At 38.0% G+C, this 20,217-nt stretch overlaps 1 long non-coding RNA gene across 2 annotated transcripts in view; it reads left to right on the top strand.

Moving 5' to 3' along the window:
* The window catches only part of LINC03021 (long intergenic non-protein coding RNA 3021), a 198,360-nt gene that overhangs the window by 115,113 nt on the left and 63,030 nt on the right, over positions 1–20,217 (top strand). For both annotated transcript variants that reach the window (NR_125425.1, NR_125423.1), the window contains 3 exons: positions 8,409–8,558; positions 16,635–16,714; positions 17,636–17,774. This is a non-coding gene — a long non-coding RNA (long intergenic non-protein coding RNA 3021). The remainder of the gene's footprint in view (positions 1–8,408; positions 8,559–16,634; positions 16,715–17,635; positions 17,775–20,217) is intronic.

The following is a 20,217-nucleotide window of genomic DNA, read 5'->3' as shown; positions in this document are numbered from 1 at the left end:
ATAATAAATGTATCGCTTCTGGACTATTAATATTTTTTAACTATAGAAATGGTGGTATCCTTGCTGGAAAGCTGTTGAGAAACAGGCACTCTTCTACAATCTTAATGGAAGAATGAATTGATACATTTTAGAAAGCATTTTGGTAATGTCTCATAAAACCTTAAAAGTATCTGCTGTGTAACCTGACATTTCTATTTCCAGGAATTTATCCTCTAGAAATATTTTCTTAAGTGTCTAAATAATATATATCAAAATGCAGCACTGTTTAAATTAGTGACATGTTAGAAATAATTCAAATATTCATCAGGAAAATTTTAATAAAATGTAATAAATTATAAGCATATTCTTACTAAAAAACTACCATATTCTGCTTAAAAAGAATTATGGACAGCTATATTTCCTAACATGAAATCATGTGCAAGTAAAATAGCTAAAAGAAAATAACATTTTGCCCCACAGTGTATGAGATATGATCCACTTTTTATCAAAAAATATAGTATATACCTGTAAGTATACAAGAAAAAAATTAAATATATATTTAAAATGTTAGATAATAATTCTTTCTAGGGTGCTACAGCAATCTGGAAGATTTTGACTTTTACATAACCCATCTTTAAATTTGATAATGCTTGAATTTGGATAGTTTCATATGCTCCAATCAGGAAAAGTAGAATATTATAAAACAACAGACATTAGTAGAAAAGTAAATTCTTGTATCTTTTATTTCTATTCAAGGCAGTTATGGGACAATTTTCAAAATGTCTCTGATGGGCTTGGTTATTTCCTTCCTTCTAATCTCACCTCTGTCTTCTCTCATGGATGGATCTTGGCTTGTACTCAGATGCTGAGCATCACCCTTTGTGAATGAGATCTGCCCTGCACAGTCTCTCGCCCTCACTTCCATGGGCGCCATGTTTGCATTAATATGTGGTGATGACAGAAGGACCTTACATGGCGACACTCATTGGCATTAAAGACATTAGCATTCCACATGATTAACAGAAACACAACTTACTCTGACTCCTTCAGAGTAAACACCATGGAGGCAGCTGGAATGGATAAGGGCTGCCTGCCGGCCACAGGGACACAGATGAGGGGCTGTGGGGCCACCAGAGGTCCCTCTGTGCTGGGAGAGTCTTTTTCTGTGAGCTCCTTCCCAACCCAAGTGTAAAGGGACAGGGCTAACCTCCAATGCCAGTAAAGTAGAAATACAAATGAAACCATCAAATAGAATGCTGAGTACATGAACACATTACTACATCTCAGGAACAGAAATAGAATCTTTATGAAAAAGTTGTGTAGTCCCCAGAGGAATAGAGAACAATATAATGGCAAAAGCAATTAGATTTTATTTTGATGCAAAGAACCAAGATAAACATATGAGATAATCAAATTGAACACACTTTACATGGTACCTTCAAAAGTACATATACATGTGTATGTACTTGTATATACATGCATATATACATAATTATGTTCATATATACACACAAATATTTTTATATGTATATGTGAATTTAATGTGAAAAGAATAATTAAGCTTAGTTGGTAAATTTTTAAAGGAGCAGATTTGGGGAAAATGCTACATTTTGATAATTCATCATGTTCCTGCATAACTGAATCAGAAATAGATGTTAGTAGTTTTAATTGCCATTACAATAACTTCATATACCTGTATTAGCCTCCTAACCTGTGATTCAAATTCATTGTGAAACAGGGATTAGTATAGTTTTTCTCTTCTGCAGGTCCACCGTGAGAATCAAAGATGATAATATATATTCAAGGGATTAGAAAAGTTGTGTGCAATTATAGATGATCGCTGAAATCATCCATGACCTTATGTTAAGTTACTGTTCTGAAATTGACCCATTTTTTGCCACCATTATTTTTAATGACAGTACTTGACACTATCAGTACCATACGATTTTGCAAGGAAGATCCCTGCTCCTCCCACAGTCTGCAGTGATGAATTATGTGACTTGATGCAAGGCCTGTTTCAATGATTGTCTCACCATTCCTCAATCCGTGTAATAAAATAATGTGTTTCCCTGGAGTTGTCAAAGGTGATGCGATTTCACTGATGTTGCTAAGCTAGGAAGCAGGATTTGATGACGCCATTGGCCTTTTTTCCCACTGTGTTAAGAAAACCATGATAAATTTTCGCTTATCAGGTGCCAGCAAGTCTGGTAGATCCACAGGGGCCTCTGAGTCTGGGGTCTCTGGAGCCTAACCTGCTCTTTTTCTCTTTGGTTAGTAAATCTAAGATTTCCTCCACTCTGATTCTATGTGTATTGCTTTCCCAGAGCTGCTATAATAAAATAACAAAAACTAGGTGAGTTGAAAACAACAAATGTTTATTCTCTCACAGTCCTGGAGGCTAGAAGCCCCTATTCAAAGTGTGGGCAGGTGCATCAGCCTGCTCTCACATTGCTGTAAAGAACTACATGAGACTGAGTAACTTATATAGAAAAGAGGTTTAAATTGGCTCATGGTTTCACAGGCCGTATAGGAGGCATGGCTGGGGAGGCCTCAGGAAACTTACAATCATGGTAGAAGGTGAAGAGGGAGCAGGCACATCTTCCAGGGCTGGACCAGGAGGTAGAGAGCAAGTGGGGAGGTGCCACACACTTTTAAACAACCAGATCTCATGATAACTCACTATCATGAGAACAGCAAGGGGGAAATCCACCCCCACGATCCAGATACCTCCCGCCAGGCCCCTCCTCCAACACTGGGGATTACAATTTGACATGAGATTTGGGTGGGGACACAGATCCAAACCATGTCAACAGGTGTGGTTCCTGTGTGAGGGCTTTGGGAGAGAAGCTGCCCCAGCCTCTCTCCAATTGTCTGGTTCTTGCCTGCATTTCCTGGCATTCATTTGTTTGTAGATGCATCACTCCAGGCTCTGCCATCATCACCAGGTGCACTCTCCGGCTGTCTCTGTATCTCTTCTCATAAGGATACCAGTGATTGGAGTTAAGGCCCAGCCTGCTCCAGAATGACCTCATCTTAACTTGATTACATCTGCAAAAACCCAATTTCTAAATAAAGTCACATACACAGGTACCAGAAATTAGGACTTCAGCATATCTTTTTGAGGGACACAGTTCAATCCAAAACAGGATGTCTGATTTTCCTTTTCCCTTAATTAATTCTGTCAATTTTCAAGGGTAAAACACTTATCCAATTTTCCCTTTCCGAACTCTTTTATAACAGGTGCATGGAAATCCTGGGGCAAGGAGGGCAGTACTAATTTTAAATCTTAAATAAATTTTATTTATCTGTATATAAGTCACTGGGAAAATTTATATTAAGAATTAATTTTCACATTTTCCCTTAGAAGAAACAAATGGCTATTTTGACCATTATATATAAACTTTACATTTTTATATTGATAATAGGAAATCAGACTGGCATTTCTTTATAAATTTAGTAGTTTACCAATGTTAAAAATACACACATGATATGTATGTATATATCTGCAATCTGGCCAAGACTACTGAAGTGCGTATTATTAAAAATATGTAGGAAACAAACTGCATATTTTTTTTTAACACTGAGATATTTATTTCAGTTAAAATTGCATGGATTGTCTCTTCAAAAACCTCTTCAGTGTAACTCTATGTTACTCATTTGCAATGCAGTCAGCAAAGACATACAGTATATTACATACTGCTTTTCACCATTTCTTAAGGAAATCATGTTCTCTTAAAAGGTTGGTTCTAAGAATTCCAAGACGGAAACATAATGGAATGGTAGAAGACTGTAAATAAATGACAAAAATTTGAATCTGTGATCTATAAAATATTATCAAGGAGATTATAGATCTCTAAGAGGTTACGTGAGTTGCTGGAAGTAAAAAGGAAACGTGTTATTTCTCATTTGGACTTTGTCTAAAATATTATGTTTAAATGAAACTTCTGCTTTAGTGCTATATTCACTGTTTATTCTCTTGAACTTTCCTGAGTAATTATGATAAATAGGCCTAAAGAAAGTGCGTGTTCTTGTTTGAATTCACAGTGATATATGTTGGTGTCTTAATCTCTTTACTTTCAGTCAGAATTTTAAAAAACTGATATTTTGATTGTTTTTATAAAACTGTATTTCAAATTGTTTGATACATTTATGCTACTGTCTCCTCTACGTAAATAATAAACAAAAAGTTGCCCTTAATCTTGCTCAATCTTGCTCTAGTAACCAAAATAACTAAAATTCTAATTACTGGTGGCAACAACAAATATATCAACAATTATTATACAACAACAGTTTACTTATTTGTGTGTCAAGTTGTGTGTGATAAGTGCTTAGTCGAAACTATCTCATTTTATCTTTTTTATAATCCTTTGAAAAACACATTATCAATTCCGCAAATAAAAAAAGCCAAAGCTTAAAATGTTAGTGACAGCACAACTGAGCTGGTTTCTTCTTAGTTTAAAACACGTGCATCTCATCATTGTCAATCAACTTCTAAAAATATCACAGCCACAACTATAAAATATTGCTGAAAGAAATTAAAGAAGACACACAATTAATGGAAAAAAAATCTCATTTTCATGAATTTAAAGACTATTGTTAAGTTGCCAATACTACCAAGAAAGATCAAATTTAGTGCAATCTCTGTACAAATCCCAACAGCATTTTTTTGCAGAAATAGAAATGAATTATCCTAAAATTTGTGTGAAGTCTTAAAGGATCCTGAATACCCAACATTTTTTTTTTTTTTTGTAAAGACGGGGTCTTCCTTTATTCCCCTGGCTGGTCTAGAACTCCTGGGCTCAAGTGATCTCCCCACCTTGGCCTCCCACAGAGTGAGCCACTGTGCTCAGCTCAAAATAATTTTGAAAAAGAAGGACATAGTTGAAGGACTCACTTCCTTCTTTCAAAATTTACTACAGAGCTATACTAATCAAACACTGTGGTTACTGACAAAAAGATAGACATATAGGCCAAAGGAAGAGAAGAAAGAGCTCAGAAATAGACCCTTACGTATATGGTCAAATGATGCTTGATAAGGGTGCCAAGACTAATCGAGAGAATATTGTCATATTCAAATAAGAGCATGATAAAAATCAAAGACAAAAATGTATGATTTTTTAAAGTCAACAGTAATAACATTCAGAGTTATTGTTTATTTTTCTGTACTATGAAAAATGCATTTTTAACCTTAAGAAAGGTTTTATTTTAGAAGAGTTTCCTTTGAAATATGTCAGCTTAACAACTTTATGAGCCTAACAGTCTTATTTGTGTTGTATGCAACTGATCACTAGCATAAAATATTACACACAATTTAGGGTTTTGTGGCGACCAGACTGGCATGAAGCTGTTGAAACATTCATTTCAGCGAGCAAAGACTGGAAGCTAGAGACTGTAGTACGCCCAAACTGCTACGGGGAAAAATATTTGCATAAGTTTCAGTTCTAACTTATAATGCTCCCAAGAGAATTCTTAATGCCTTCATTAGAATGGAAGGAACCTGAAACTCACCTGAAAAAAAAAAAAACACTTCAGGCAAAAACTGCAGAAGAATCCCCTAATATGTTATTAATTCCGCTGCAGGGCTTAAGAAGTCTGATGACAATGCTAAATCCCTTAAAAAATTGTCTTCACCGGGGGATGCCAGCCTAAAAACCAAACACCGTCTTTCTCTCACTGCATTAATGAATCCCACGTCGGAGTTGCCACCCCTGGCAGAATATTCCAGCCCCTGTTCTCCTCTGGCTTTGTCTTCCGTAATCTTTCTCTGCATTGTTTTTCCATTGCTGCTCACAGTAAAGATTGATGTTGCTTCTCGAATTGAGGAAAAAGTACACATATCTATCTTCTGGTCGTAGATTGATTTGCTACAAATCCTTTCTCCACAAGTCATGGGAGACTGTGGAGTCCAGGTGTAAATTTCCTCCCGTTATTTGAACGTTGAAAATAACAGTACAAAGTTCTACATAAAATATTGTAGAATACCATAAAGGCTCAGATTTTTACTTTTTTTATATATAAAAAGAGAATGTAGGATGCTTTCAGCAAAAGGTATTTTTTAAAGCTATTTTTGGAAAAGGATATAATCCAAGGTGTGGAATGTGTTAAATGCGCTCTGTTAAGAGCGCACCACAAATTAGAGAACAAGAATTAGTGTTCCTCTCTGGGACCCTCCTGTGCTCACCAAGAAACAATGCATATTCATCACTGCACGCATATACAAGATGAATTAGGCAAAGCCCAAGGTGCGCGGGAAGCAGCAGAGAGGTTCTGCAATTCCTACATGACTGTGAGTTATCTTTTCTTCTCATTTTGAAGTATTACATATTTGAAAGAAAAATTTCCAAAAACTAAATCTGTTGCTATTTTATGATTTAATTAGAAGCAGGAGTCAGTAGGAACAGGAGTGTAAAACCAATTTCTATAAAAGCAGATCATTAAAGGAATTTGCTAGATTTTTCTCAACACACTACACACACACACACACACACACACACACTTCACAACATATGCTTTAGTAGTAGATTGGTGCAAAAATTATTACGGTTTTTGCAATTACAATGGCAAAATACACAATTACATATACGTCAATCTAATACATTAGTGCATGGTACCAGTACAAATAGCACATTTAATCCAGTAATATTTATTTAGGTACTACTGTTCCATTTTTTAAATCTGGTAAATAAGAAACCAGATGCACAAATTGTGTGCTACTGAGTTTGAAGAAGACAGGAAAGATATCCTTACAGGCGTTTAGAGGATAGAGGAGTGAGGAATTTCTTCTGACCAGGGAACTATGTGAATCAATGACAGTTTCAAGAAGGAGGTAATGTTTGAATTTGACCTCAAAAGCAAACCCTGTAATGCAGTAGATTTGGATGCTAATATGTGTGAGGGAGAAAAAATCTTATCTTTCCCTTTCCCACCGCAAGGTTCATACTGACATCCCACACCAAAAGACAGATCAATGGGAGAAAAGCCCAACACATTTATTTAATCAAAATTTTATATGACATGGGAGCCTTTAGAAATGAAACCCCAAAGACCCAGGGAAAATTGTCCATGTTTATGCTTTGGTTCAATGAAGAATGGACAACCGTGCGGGAGCAGGTTTGGACCAACTGGGGTGACTTTAGCAGGGCATGTGTGTTCAGAGTGCCCCTGGCTTCTGGGTATACGGCAGGACCCATCTAGAATGAGGGTATTTCAGGCAAGGTTGGTCAGAAAATTCCTTTATGGCCTGCTTTTGGGGAGAAAGGCAAAGGAAGGTCAGAGTGACCTTGCTCCTGCATTTTCTTAATCTCCAACATGCCGTATATTTGGGTACCACATTCTGAGCCCAGGCAAAGTAGCGCTCAGATAGTTCTCACACTGGGCTTTGTTATGCTGAATGCGTGGGTCAATATCGTTGTTACTGTTTTGCAGTGACTGGATAAATAAAAATTGTGTTTAGTAAAATGCAGGGCTGATCTTTGGTGGCCTCTGCCTATGGGGGAGGAGAAGATAATTGTGTAAAATAAGGGGTGGAGGAAGATCATGGAGAGCATTTTTACGGAAATGTTTTGGTGAGAATCACTGATGAATTTTCAAGACGACACGTTGTAATAAATGTGTTTTATGAATACTGATTTGAAAGTAGTGGCTGCAACATGGCTGCATCCTCAGAGCTGCACAGAGCTGTGAGGGGTCAGCCGGGCTCTTCTAAGCCAGGGGTCTTGAACAGGGATGTGCTGGCAGGAGTTAGGAGAAGGATGAGTTTGAGAAAAGTGGAGGCTGAGCTTCTTGATGTGGGGTCAGCAGTGGGAGGGGGCTTTGAGAACATCTGTGAAGGTATCAGCCATCATCAGCCTGTGTATCCTGCAAAGCAAGAACCTCTACCCGTAACTTGTTCCACTATTTCTGCACCAGATAGTCATCATGGTGTTGCTTCCTCTCCATAAAATATCTGATTACTCGCTTTACTGAATTTTCTTTTCTTTGTAGCTCTCTGCATATACCTTACTCTCTAAATCATGGAACTCTTTATCTGTTACCATAACTTCTGTTTTTGGAGAAACAATGCCTAATACTTCGGTATTTTTGAAAAGATATCCAACGATCTTAAATTATGTTTAATAAAAACAATGCATTGATAACATATACTAAATTTAATTCTTCTGTTCACTAAAGGTCTTTCAGAAGTAATTCATTGGAGCATTCTCCCTGGATTCCTTCTCCCCAAATAAACTGTATTTAAGAAATATTTATCATAACTCAGAGAAATGACTTATTTCCTCTTTTTGTGCCCCGAAGTCACCAACTTTTACTATGTATACTAGGATGTTAAAATTGAACTATTTTGGTTTCTATTTCAGCTGATAAATACAGACATGCGATATTTGTAAAGATTTAAGATTGCTTCTAACCTAGGTCTCTCCTCCATATTTAAGGTACAAAACAGTCACGAAAGTGAAATCATGAGACTATTACCGATGTAAATGGCAGATTCACCTCAAGAAGGAGATACTTAAGAAGGTCTCAGAGACAGATTATGCCACTTCTGGATCTACTGAAGTCTGAGTCACACCTGAGAAACACAGGCAAGTGATTGGCTTTCCTGCCACCAGGTCTAATGGCTTGGTAAAGATACTGCTGCTAGAGTCAAAATTATACTATGATTAAAGTCCAGCTTGGGCTCCCATAATCCTATTATTATTATGGGAGCCCACTCTGAACTCTCCTGAGTTTGCGGGGCAGCAAGAAGACAGTAACGGGAAGGTTGTGAGCAACAGACATTGGGCACCTGCCACTGTCAGCAGGATATGAAAGAGCCTAAGTAAGGGGAAGGAAAGAACAGGGTCCGTCTTTGAGGAATTCAGCTGCTCAGGTTAGACTCCATGTGAGCTCTCCTTCCAGAGGCCACGATGGGGTAAAACCTGCAGATGTGAGACAGGGAGGAAAAGCAAAGCCACAAAAAATGGGGAAAGTGGGCAAAATGAGGGAAAACCTGCACCCTCCAAGGCTCGCTCCAACTGCACTCGTGAGAGTCAGGAATTGGGGCCATCATGAAGGAAGTTTAATAATCTGATATCTTCATTTAGACAGTGCCCTGGACATATTAAAGAGGTTTATTTATGCCCTGGGAATGATCAGAATCATTACAGAACAGGCTTTCCCAGAACAATTTTAAGGAGGTAAGAAGAGACAAAGATCAAGTTTGATGATTTCATCCCATGAATCTTGCTTGATTACAGCTGAAATTACTTAGTAATAATTTGGTAAGGTTTGTATTATTAAACATAATGCAATATGCTGCATAACGTGTTAAATTTGATTTTCTCTTAACTCATTATTTAAATATAAATGAATAAACTGAGACCAGCAAATTTCTGCCCCAGGTTGTAAGATGCTCAGGGAGCCTCACTAGTAGTAACTGCCATCTGAGTTTGGCAGGAAGTGTTCACTCACCTTGACTCAGGTAAAAGGAGATCTGACTTTTAAGAAAAAGGCAGAAAATAATAGTGAAATGAATAATCTGTCTCCTGGAGTTTTTTTGTTTATTAAAGCCAGAAAAGCAGATATAAATTCTCTGCTTGTTTCTAGCTACAGAAAATAAGTACAGTGACTTTATACAGGTGTGTGCCACAAGTATTTACTTTTCTTTTTGAGGCAGGGTGTCACCCTGTTGCCCAGGATAGAGTGCGGTGGTGTGATTACAGCTCACTGCAGCCTGGAGCTCCTGGGCTCAAGCAATCCTCCTGCCTCCGCCCCCCAGTACAGGCATGAGTCATTGCATCCAGCCTGTATTTACTTGTTATTAGCTGACAAGCAAACTAAAAAAACAGGCCAAGATTACTTTGTTTAATTTTAGAAGAGTAGTGTATTCATAGAATTGTTTATAATTCAAGAGAAAATGCTAAACTGTCATAATTTAAATGTATGTATCCAAATGTAAACACATGTAACATAAACATGTTTGTATTTGTCAGAAATAGTAAACACAGGTTGTAAAATCAAATGGGAAGAAACTGTATTTCAGGAAATTAAGATTGCACAGAGATTGTGGGAAATAGCACATCTGCGTTTGTTTTGTTGTGACAAGTAACGGCAAATAGTTTCAGCGTAAATTTTCAAACTTTTGACTTCTTCTTTTTGGCAGATATTGTGAGATAAACTGTGGGATGTTACATGTTCACACATGTAACACACTGACAAATGTGTAGAAATATTAGACAAGGGAAACACTATTCTATTGTACAACACTCTTTGGTGTGGTTTGGATCTGTGTCCTCAACCAAATCTCATTTTAAATGGTAATCCCCAAGTTAGGAGGTGGGGCCTGGTGAGAGGTGATTGGATCTTGGGGTCAGTTTCTAGTGGTTTAGCACTGACTAGTGTTGGTCTCATGATAGAGCTCTAAGGAAATCTGGTTGTTTAAAAGTGTGCCTGCTTCTCCTTCTGCCATGATTGTTTCTTGAGGCCTCCCCAGCTGTGCTTCCTGTACAACCTGCAGAACTGTGAGCGGATTAAACCTCTTTTCTTTGTAAATTACCCAGTCTTGGGTATTCCTTTATAGCAGTGTGAGACCAGACTAATATACTCCTTGAAACGTAATTTGTGTGTTCCTTTGAGAAAATTTTTTTCTGTTTTTAATAACCCTTTAAGATGTTTGTTCCTAGACTTAACCTAAATCACATTTTTCTTTTCTGTCCTTCAGTTCATTGTGAGACAGTGAACAATTGGTAAGTGTATGTTACATAATAGACTATGTATTTTAAAGTAATTATAAGCTAACTGCTGTTTTACACTCAAATCTAAATAGCTCAATTTTTTTTTTATTTTCCCCTAGTTCTCAGAATGCTTATTTTCGAGCCCTTTAATAAAATCACAGAAATAAATTATTTCCTGTTAGCCTAGGGCTTCACATTGTTTCCCTTAGGCCATAAAGGATTAAATATATGTATAAGCAAAAATGGTGTCTTTAACAGAGAAAAAAACCTGCCTATATTTTTCGGCATAATTAAGTCAACCTAGATTCTATTCCAGGCCTCCCACTATGCTCTCCCCATTAGGGGGTCATTTCTAAGGATTCACAGCTCTTGTAGGTCTAAGGCTATATCTGGGGACCGGAGCAGCCAGCACAGATATTTTCCTTTACTTCGAACTCCACAAACTGACATGTTCCCTGTTTATTAGCTAATAGTTACTTATCCTCTTCCCCATCTTTTAGGTTAACTTTTCAGATATCCTTCCATCAAAGTCTTAGAAATTGTGTAGGAGTGCTAGCCAACGGCCCTGTGGGGGCTCTGTGTGCATGTTTTGTGTAAATATAAATAAAACTTTCTCTCTGTTCAGTATCATCTACTTTGCAACATGCCATGATAAAGCTAAGATTTTGAAAGCTAAAATTCTACAAAAATATTTGTATACAAAATGAAAAGGATACAATAAGTTTCATTAAATCTAGTTTCACAGAGTCTACCAGAATTTTGAGTCTAGCAGAAGTCAAATTTAGTAGAATTTTCTGGTTTGTATGAACATAAAGACAATAGCTAGAATAAAGTTTTGTTGGACTTCATGAAGGGAAAAGAAATTGTGGAGAAAGGTTGAATATATATTTTGTAATTAGGACTATATGTAGTTCATTTTACTGGTTTGTATACCAAAAAATAATAATAACAGTAGGAGTTCACCAAAACCTATTAAGTTGGATAACAGTAGCTATCTTCAGGTTTTCTTCTTAAGCAATAGGATGAAATGACTGTTCTTTGTCCTGGCCGCACTGGGACTGCAAGATCATGGTGTCCCTGCTCGTTGGATTTGAGCTGCACAAACCTGTCTGATTTTAGTTTCATGATCCTTTTTATTCAGTCCCCATCATGCATTCTCTAAATTGTTTGGAAAGTTTTAAGCAATTTATTTCTATGAAAACCTTTTCTATCTGTTAAGCAAAATGTTCTCTGTCACTGTGAATTCTTGGATCTTCTTGTCTTTGTAACCACAGCAGGCTGTCCTAGAGTTTTCTGTCAGTTTGTGCATTTGGAAAAGCCTCTGATATTTTGACCCAAGAAACGGAAAATGCAATCATGACCTCTGCAAAACCATAATACATGCTCACAATTAAGCAACAGAGAGCTTAAGTCAAACACTGCATGTTCTCACTTATAAGTGGGAGCTGAGCAATGAGAACGTATGGATACAGGGAGGGTAGCAACACACATTGAGGCGGCCTGTCTGGGGATGAGGTCGGGGAAGGGAGAGCATCAGGAAAAATAGCTAATGCATGCTGGACTTAACACCTAGGTGATAGGTTGATAGGTGCAGCAAACCACTGTGGCACATGTTTACCTATGTAACAAACCTGCACATCCTGCACATGTACACCAGAATTGAAATTAAAATTAATTAAAAAAATAGAAACTCTAAAAAAAAAAACCATGTTATGCCCAATGTATTAGCCTATTTTCTGATATGCTGATAAAGACATACCGGAGATGGAGCAATTTACAAAAGAAAGAGGTTTATTTGGATTTAGAGTTCCACATGCCTGGGGAAACCTCACAATTGTGGCGGAAGGCAAGGAGGAACAAGTCACATCTTACATAGATGGCAGCAGGCAAAGAGAGAGAGTGAGAGCCAATTGAACATGTTTGCCCTCATCAAACCATCAGATCTCATGAGACTTATTCCTACCATGAGAACAGTATGGGGGAGAGTGCCCCCATGATTCAGTTATCTCCCACCAGGACCCTCTCACAACACGTGGGAATTATGGGAGTACAATTCAAGATGAGATTTGGGTGGGGACAGAGCCAAACCTTATCACCTAATGTTCTTGACACCAGTGGGGCAGAAAACATTTGAGGCTATTTGCACCCAAGGCAGTACCTCAGCAGGTTCCATTTCCCCCACAGTATATTAATTTGCAAAGCACAGGCAGCAGAAGTGGACATCCTTGTGAACACTGTTGCCTTTCACTTGTCTTTGCAAGTGCACGCTAGTCTCCATTCTTACATTAGAACTTGAAATCTCATCCTTAACACCTAGTGGGGTAACTAAAAAGTATAAATTAAAAATGAGCACCTCACTTCAATCACTTAAGACAAATCGACCATTGGGCAATCTCAGTGCATCATGAATCTGAGCTAATATTTACTGGATACTACATTTGAGGTATACTAGGCACTCCTCTGAATATTATATATTCACTACCATTTAATCTTCAAAAATACTTACAGCCAATACCATTATTGTCTCTATTGCCTCATAGGGTTGTTGTGAGAGTTAACTGAGATTACATTTGCAAAACAGCACAAGTGAACACTCTATAAGTGTTTGGCTTCTTTACAATATTATTATTAGTAGTGCTAGTCATTTTTTTAAAGAGTAATATCTATCTACAGAAGTTTGAAACTACCTTTAAATGACTGACTGAGAAGTATTTTGAAAAGGTGGAGAAGCTAGAGATAAGCACAGTGTTTTGTTATTAAACATTCTGGGGGGACATTTGAGCAACATTGTGAAACATCGTTGGACAGCCGTGCCTAAGACAACATGGATATGCAGATTGTAAATATTTTAGCTAAATTTTTCTAGTACGAGCTATATGACTTTAGACCACAACTCTCCAGGGCAACTCTATCAACAGCATTATTTTATGAATTTGGAATCTAAAATTCAGAGGGGCGGGATGGAGCTAGAATCTTCACCTCATCACGTCTGATGCATGGATCTTCGATATATGGAATAATATTAGAATTATATGTATACTCAAGGAAATCCTTAAAATTCAGACTTTTCATTTTAAGAAGTAAAGAAATATATTGACAGCATTTCTAAAAGTAGCGAAGGTTGTGACAGACCATTTATTATGCCAAGCAAACAGAAAATATATTTGGATTTTATGTGTATTTTTCCCATCCGTAATTCAATGCCTACCCAATTTTATTAGCTTGCTAGGGCTGCTGTAACAAATTACCACAAACTGGGTATTTTAAAACAACAGAAATTTATTCTTTCGCATTTCAGGGAGGCCAGAAGTCTGAAATCAAGTTGTCAGCAGGATTGGTTCCTTCTGGAAGCTCTGAAGCAGCACCTGCTCAGGTGTCTGTCCCAGCCTCTGGGGGAAATCCTGGCTGTTCCCTGGCTGTTAGAGGCATCCCCCATGATCTCTGCCTCCATCCTCACACCACCTTCGGTGTAACTCACGTCTCCCTTTTCTTTGCTGATCTTTGGTTTTCTTTGATGATCAATGACATCAGTCATTGGATTTAGCTGTCCATCCTAAATCCAAGTTATCTCTTCTCAAGGTCCTTGACATAATTACATCTGGAAATACTCAGTTTCAAAATAAGGTCACCTGCCATGGTTCCAGCTGGACATGAATTTTGTGCAGATATCTTTTTTTTTTTTTTTTGAAATGGAGTTTTGCTCTTATTGCACAGGCTGGAGTTCAATGGCGCGATCTTGGCTCACTGCAAACTCTGCCTCCCAGGTTCAAGCGATTCTCCTGTCTCAGCCTCCCGAGTAGCTGGGATTACAGGCATCCGCCACCATGCCTGGCTAATTTTTGTATTTTTAGTAGAGACAGGGTCTCACCATGTTAGCCAGGCTGGTCTCGAACTCCTGTGACCTCGTGTTCTGCCCGCCTTGGCCTCCCAAAGTGCTGGGATTACAGGTGTGAGCCACCGTGCCCGGCCTGGGCAGATACCATTTAATCCACTACATCAGTCATTACTTCTTCAAGAAATGAAGACGAATTGCTTTCCTGCTGCCTATCTGAGTCATTATCCAGTATACCTGAAGCAAATTATTGTATATGTTCTATGGAACTGTAAAAGCTTAATATATGTTTTCTTGGTTTTTCAATCTGTGAAAGCATGTTATTTTAACAATTTTAATTATAAAGTGTAGAATATTATGTAGTGAATAACCATGTATTCATCACACAGATTGGACAGTTTCCAATATTTTTTCTCAGATTTCTTTCTTAATATAAGGTTAATAAAACATCACAGTACAACTAGAGGCTGATTGCACCCACATACCTGTGCTTGGTCTGACAGCTGGGACATGTCATTCTTATGTATATGTCCACAATCTTGTACGACAGTTTTGTTTTGTGTGTATACGTGGGTGTTTTATTTCTACACTGAGGGCCTCATGGTGTGTGTAGAATTTTGTACTTGGCTATATTCAACATTATGATTTTGTGATTTCTGTAAACTGAAATTATGTATGCTAATGTATTTATTGAAACTGTTCTAAAATACTAAACGTTATGAATGAATCACAATTTAGTTATCCGTTTTGTCAATCTGGTGAAATATTAGGGTTTTCTGGCTACTAAACCAAATGCTACCACAAAAATCACTGTTCAGGACTCCATGTCAATGTGTCACTTAGGACTCATACCTGAAAATAGAAATCCGTGTATTGACAATGTACATCTTCACGTCTTTAAATGCTGCCAAGTTGATTTCCAAAGAGGTTGTCACAGGTTACATTCTATTAATAGTTTCTAAAAATAGTCTCTCCTCACATGATTGCCAGCATTTAGTATTTTCAGGGAAAATTTATATTCTGCCCATTTGTTGGGTCTAAAGTGATGTATCATTGACATTTTGATTTACATTTTTCTGACTCCTAAGGAGATTCTTATCTTTGTACATAATTTATTGCATATTATTTTGCTGAATTGTAAGATATGTTCTCATGCAATTCTATTTAAATTTATAAAATCCTGTAACTGCTGTCTGAATTAATTTTTTTTTTTTTGAGTCGGAGTCTCACCCTGTGGCCCAGGCTACAGTGAGGTTGGCACGATCTCGGCTCACTGCAACCTCTGCCTCTCAGGTTCAAGTGATTCTCCTGCCTCAGCCTCCTGAGTAGCTGGGACCACAGGTGCCCGCCACCATGCCCAGTTAAGTTTTGTATTTTTAGTAGAGATGGGGTTTTGCCATGTTGGCCAGGCTGGTCTCAAACTCCTGGCCTCAAGTGGTCCACCCACCTCGGTCTCCCAAAGTGCTGAGATTATAGGTGTGAGCCACCGTGCCCTGCCCAACTAACTTTTGGTGCTCCTTCCTACTGATGTTTTAAATCAGTATAGTTAAATTTATCCACTCTTCTTTAAACTTTAAATTATATCTTATTTAAAATAATCCATCTGTATCAAAACTTCTAAATGTTCGTATATTTTCAAAAAAAATTAAGTTATACTATTTCTATGTATTTTTAATCACCTTCTTATAGTTGTTTTGTGTACTGTGTAAAATAAAACCCCAAATTTATCTTTTAATTTTTTTTGAAGAGTTAGTGATTCACCTCAGCAGAGTCACAAAATATTCCATCTTTTCTAAATGTAAAAAGAGATATAAATGGGTCGGTTCTTATATTGTTTTATTGTTTTCTGCATATATTAATTTCTTTCATTAAATTTTATTCCTAAAACTTCTTATTAATCATGTCATTATTCTTAATGTACAATCTCTATCCTTATTCTTCATTTTCAAGTTAGTACCGAATATTCTTGGTCATTTATGCTTCCTTGTGAAGATTAACTATTAATCTTATTATTATGTCTCTGAAAAATAATCAGTTGTGCTTTCAAACAGAATTGCTTGGAATGTTTGAATTAATTTGGGGAGCACTTATTATATTCTCCTTTTCTTTTCTAGATGCAGGAGAAATCTCCTAATATATTCAGAATTGATGTGTAATCCCCCATAAAATACATCGTTTCCATTGTAAAAATCAGGTACATCTTTTGTTAGAATTTTCTTCGGTTGTCTGGGTTTATTGTGAATGGAGTCTTTGTTTTGATAACCACCAATTTAAATGAGCTTTTTATGGAGGGTAGAGACACTATTGTTTTTGCACCCTTATCCAACAATTTTACTGAACTCCTAATTAAAATTTAATAATTAGTCTGAACAAATTCTCTTGGATGTCCTGTGTAGTCAGTCATTGAGCAGGCTCACATGCTCCTGCAGGAGGATGGCTTCCCCACAGGACGGTGAGCAGACAGCAGGGAGAACAATAATCTGAAAAGAAGGAATATATTTGTAATGTGCAGGGGTGCTCAGAAGGCAGTGATCTTGCATGTTTCTTAAAGAACAATTCTAAATGTTGTGAAACAACGTTCCACGGGTCTCTTGCATTTCTCCCAACACGGCATGTAGACACAAGGGCAGCTTTTGGTCTGGAATATCTTCCAAATGATGTTTGTATAATGATTAACCTTAAAGGACAGGAGACATGTAGTCATGCGCAGGCCAGAGAGCTGGCTTGTCCACTGACCGCTGTGTAGCACAGATGATCTGTGCGTCTAGAACAAACGTCAGGACAGTTCTGCTTGCATCGCCTAAGTGTGGGGGCTTCTAAGCTTGCCATTCTATATGTCTTTAATCAACTTCTTAATAGTTTTTTGTGTACTATGTAAAATAAAACCCCAATTTTATCTTTTTATTTTTTTTGAAGAGTTAGTGATTCACCTCAGCTGAGTCACGAAATATTCCACCTTTTCTAAATGTAGAAAGAAATATAATGGGGCTGTTATTATATTGTTTTGTGTTTTTCCATATATTAATTCCTTTGCGTTAAATTTTTATTAATTCCTAAAACTTCTTATTAATAATTTCATTTTTCTTAATGCACAATCTCTATCCTTATTCTTCAGCAGTGATGCAAACCCACTTCACGCGCAGCACCCACCTGCACCGTACCACACAACGCTGTGACAACACTAACACGAAGCTGATGCTGATTGCTCAACAGTGAGGGATCCCTGCCCAGGAGCAGCCAGCACCGTGGAGCTGGTAGGTTAACTCATCAACTTCTAAGCATGGTAAAATCTCAGGCCCTTCAGAGTTCTTGACAATAACCACACCTCAGGGAGCTGTAGAACTGTGTAGATAGAACCTGGACCACCTAAGCTTATTTTTCTGGTGAGTAAAATATAGTCAAGATAGTGAACATGTTAGTCATGGCAACTCCAAGGAACACTGAAATTCTGTTTGCCAATGTGTGTAGTCAGAGACGAAAACAAAATGGAGTGACCAATTTAGAGGACTTCCAGTTGTGTCCTGGTCATTACTGATGCTTTCTAGTCCTGATTGCTTTTTAAGCTGTAGATTATTGTTGGAACTAAAGCTGCCTCGCTGGAAGATATTTAGCTATTTGAACTACTTGGGGTTGTTGTTGACTATTTAAAATAAGTGTTTCTGAGTATCAGTGATCCGTTTTGAGCTACAGACATAGATTCTTTTTATACCAGGAAACTGTCTTTGTTATTTCTATGATGTTTTATAAAAATTTCTTTAGGAATAAAACTGACCCAGGTTCGGCCGGGCACAGTGGCTCACGCCTGTAATCCCAGCACTTTGGGAGGCCGAGGCGGGTGAATCATGAGGTCAGGAGATCGAGACCATCCTGGCTAACATGGTGAAACCCCGTCTCTACTAAAAATACAAAAAATTAGCCAGGCGTAGTGGCAGGCACCTGTAGTCCCAGCTACTAGGGAGGCTGAGGCAGAATGGCGTGAACCCAGGAGGCGGAGCTTGCAGTGAGCCGAGATTGCACCACTGCCCTCCAGCCTGGGCGACAGAGCCAGACTCCATCTCAAAAAACAAAAACAACAAAAAACAAAAAACTGACCCAGGTTCTAGACTGTTCTTTCACCTGTTTATGGGCTGTATTCTAATCAGCGTCCTTTGCTTTTTATTCTAGACTTGCGTCTCATGCTTGTAATCACCAGAACTTATATACTTTGCTAAATTGGGGGCTTTGCTTGTTAATCCTTCTTACACTGATTTCCATACTGTTACTTAAAATTTTGATTTCTTACCAAGCTCTGTTTTTAATTTTGCCTGAATCTTCCTCAGCTGAGTCCTTTTATCTCAGCCCATTGACATTTTTCTTATTTCACAAATACATGTTTTCTTGAATGTTACTGAAAATACAATATAGAAGCTTTCTAAAGTTTTTAAAAAAATTCCTCCAACAGTAAATCTATTTCTTCATATAAAGCCATAAAAATGATACAATTGACTCTGGGGACTTGGGGGTAAGAGTGGGAAGGAGGCGCGGGATCAAAGACTACACTTAGGGTGCAGTGTATACTGCTCGGGTGACGAGTGCACCAAATCTCACAAATCACCACTAAAGAGCTGACTCATGTAGCCAAATACCATCTGTACCCCAATAACTTAGGGAAAATAAAATAAAAAATAAACATTTATAAAAAGAAATAAAATAAAATAAAGTAAAATATAGCAAGGTTCATATTCTTTTTTCTTCACACTGTAGACTCTTTTCATCATTCCGATGTTGGGAATTTTTGTCACAGATTTGAACAAAAGAATTCAATAAAGGCCAAGTATTTTTAAAATCTGTGGTGGTTGACTTATTCTTTGATCTCCTCTCTGCACGAGCTGCTAAGAAGAAACCTCGCTTTTATATTTTAATCTGGTATTGATTGATGTAAAGTTACATTACCAATTCAGTGATCCAAAATTTATTCAAGGGCATGTGGGCACTCTTGGCATAATGACCCTTTTTATCTCTCATCCCCAGGCCACAAATTGGTTTCTAACACGGAGCTTTCATGTCCATTTTAGATTTTGCAGCAAACACCTCCTAGATGTTCTGATTTTGCTTCTGTGCCTACTGCTTTGTGGAGTGTCTTTTCCACCCAGTGGTCTGTCACTATGTCGTGGTGTAGGATTCTGATCACTAGCTGGGGTTTTCACCCAGTGGCTCCACAAATTAATGTGATGAGCCAGGAGCAAAGGGTCTTGTACAGAGTCTGCTTCTCAGTGACCTCCTCATCTTGTTTGCATTCTCACCCTCGTCTCTCCAAGTTCAAGGCTCTTAACGTGGTCCTGTGGCACTCCCCACACATTCTTCATTAATGCATGTCTTTCTCAGGTTGGGGCTCAGGAGAAGGTGGTTGAGGCTGAGAGTAGCCTGGTCCTGCCATCACTATGCATGGAAAGTTACGACGATGTTCCAGTTTCTGACAAAGGAGACTGATTCCCCTTCTCCCAGGCTTAGTGCTGATGGTCTCACTTGCATCGTCTTCGTTTTCCCCATGTGAGTCTTAGAATTTTTTTTTTTTTTTTTTTTTTGAGATGGAGTCTCGCTCTGTCACGCAGGCTGGAGTACAGTGGCACCGTCTTGGCTCACTGCAAGCTCCGCCTCCCGGGTTCAAGCGATTCTCCTGCCTCAGCCTCCCGAGTGGCTGGGATTACAGGCACCTGC

Source organism: Homo sapiens, chromosome 8 (assembly GCF_000001405.40).
Source record: "Homo sapiens chromosome 8, GRCh38.p14 Primary Assembly".
NCBI lineage: Eukaryota > Metazoa > Chordata > Mammalia > Primates > Hominidae > Homo > Homo sapiens.
This window is presented reverse-complemented; position numbering and strand designations above follow the sequence as displayed.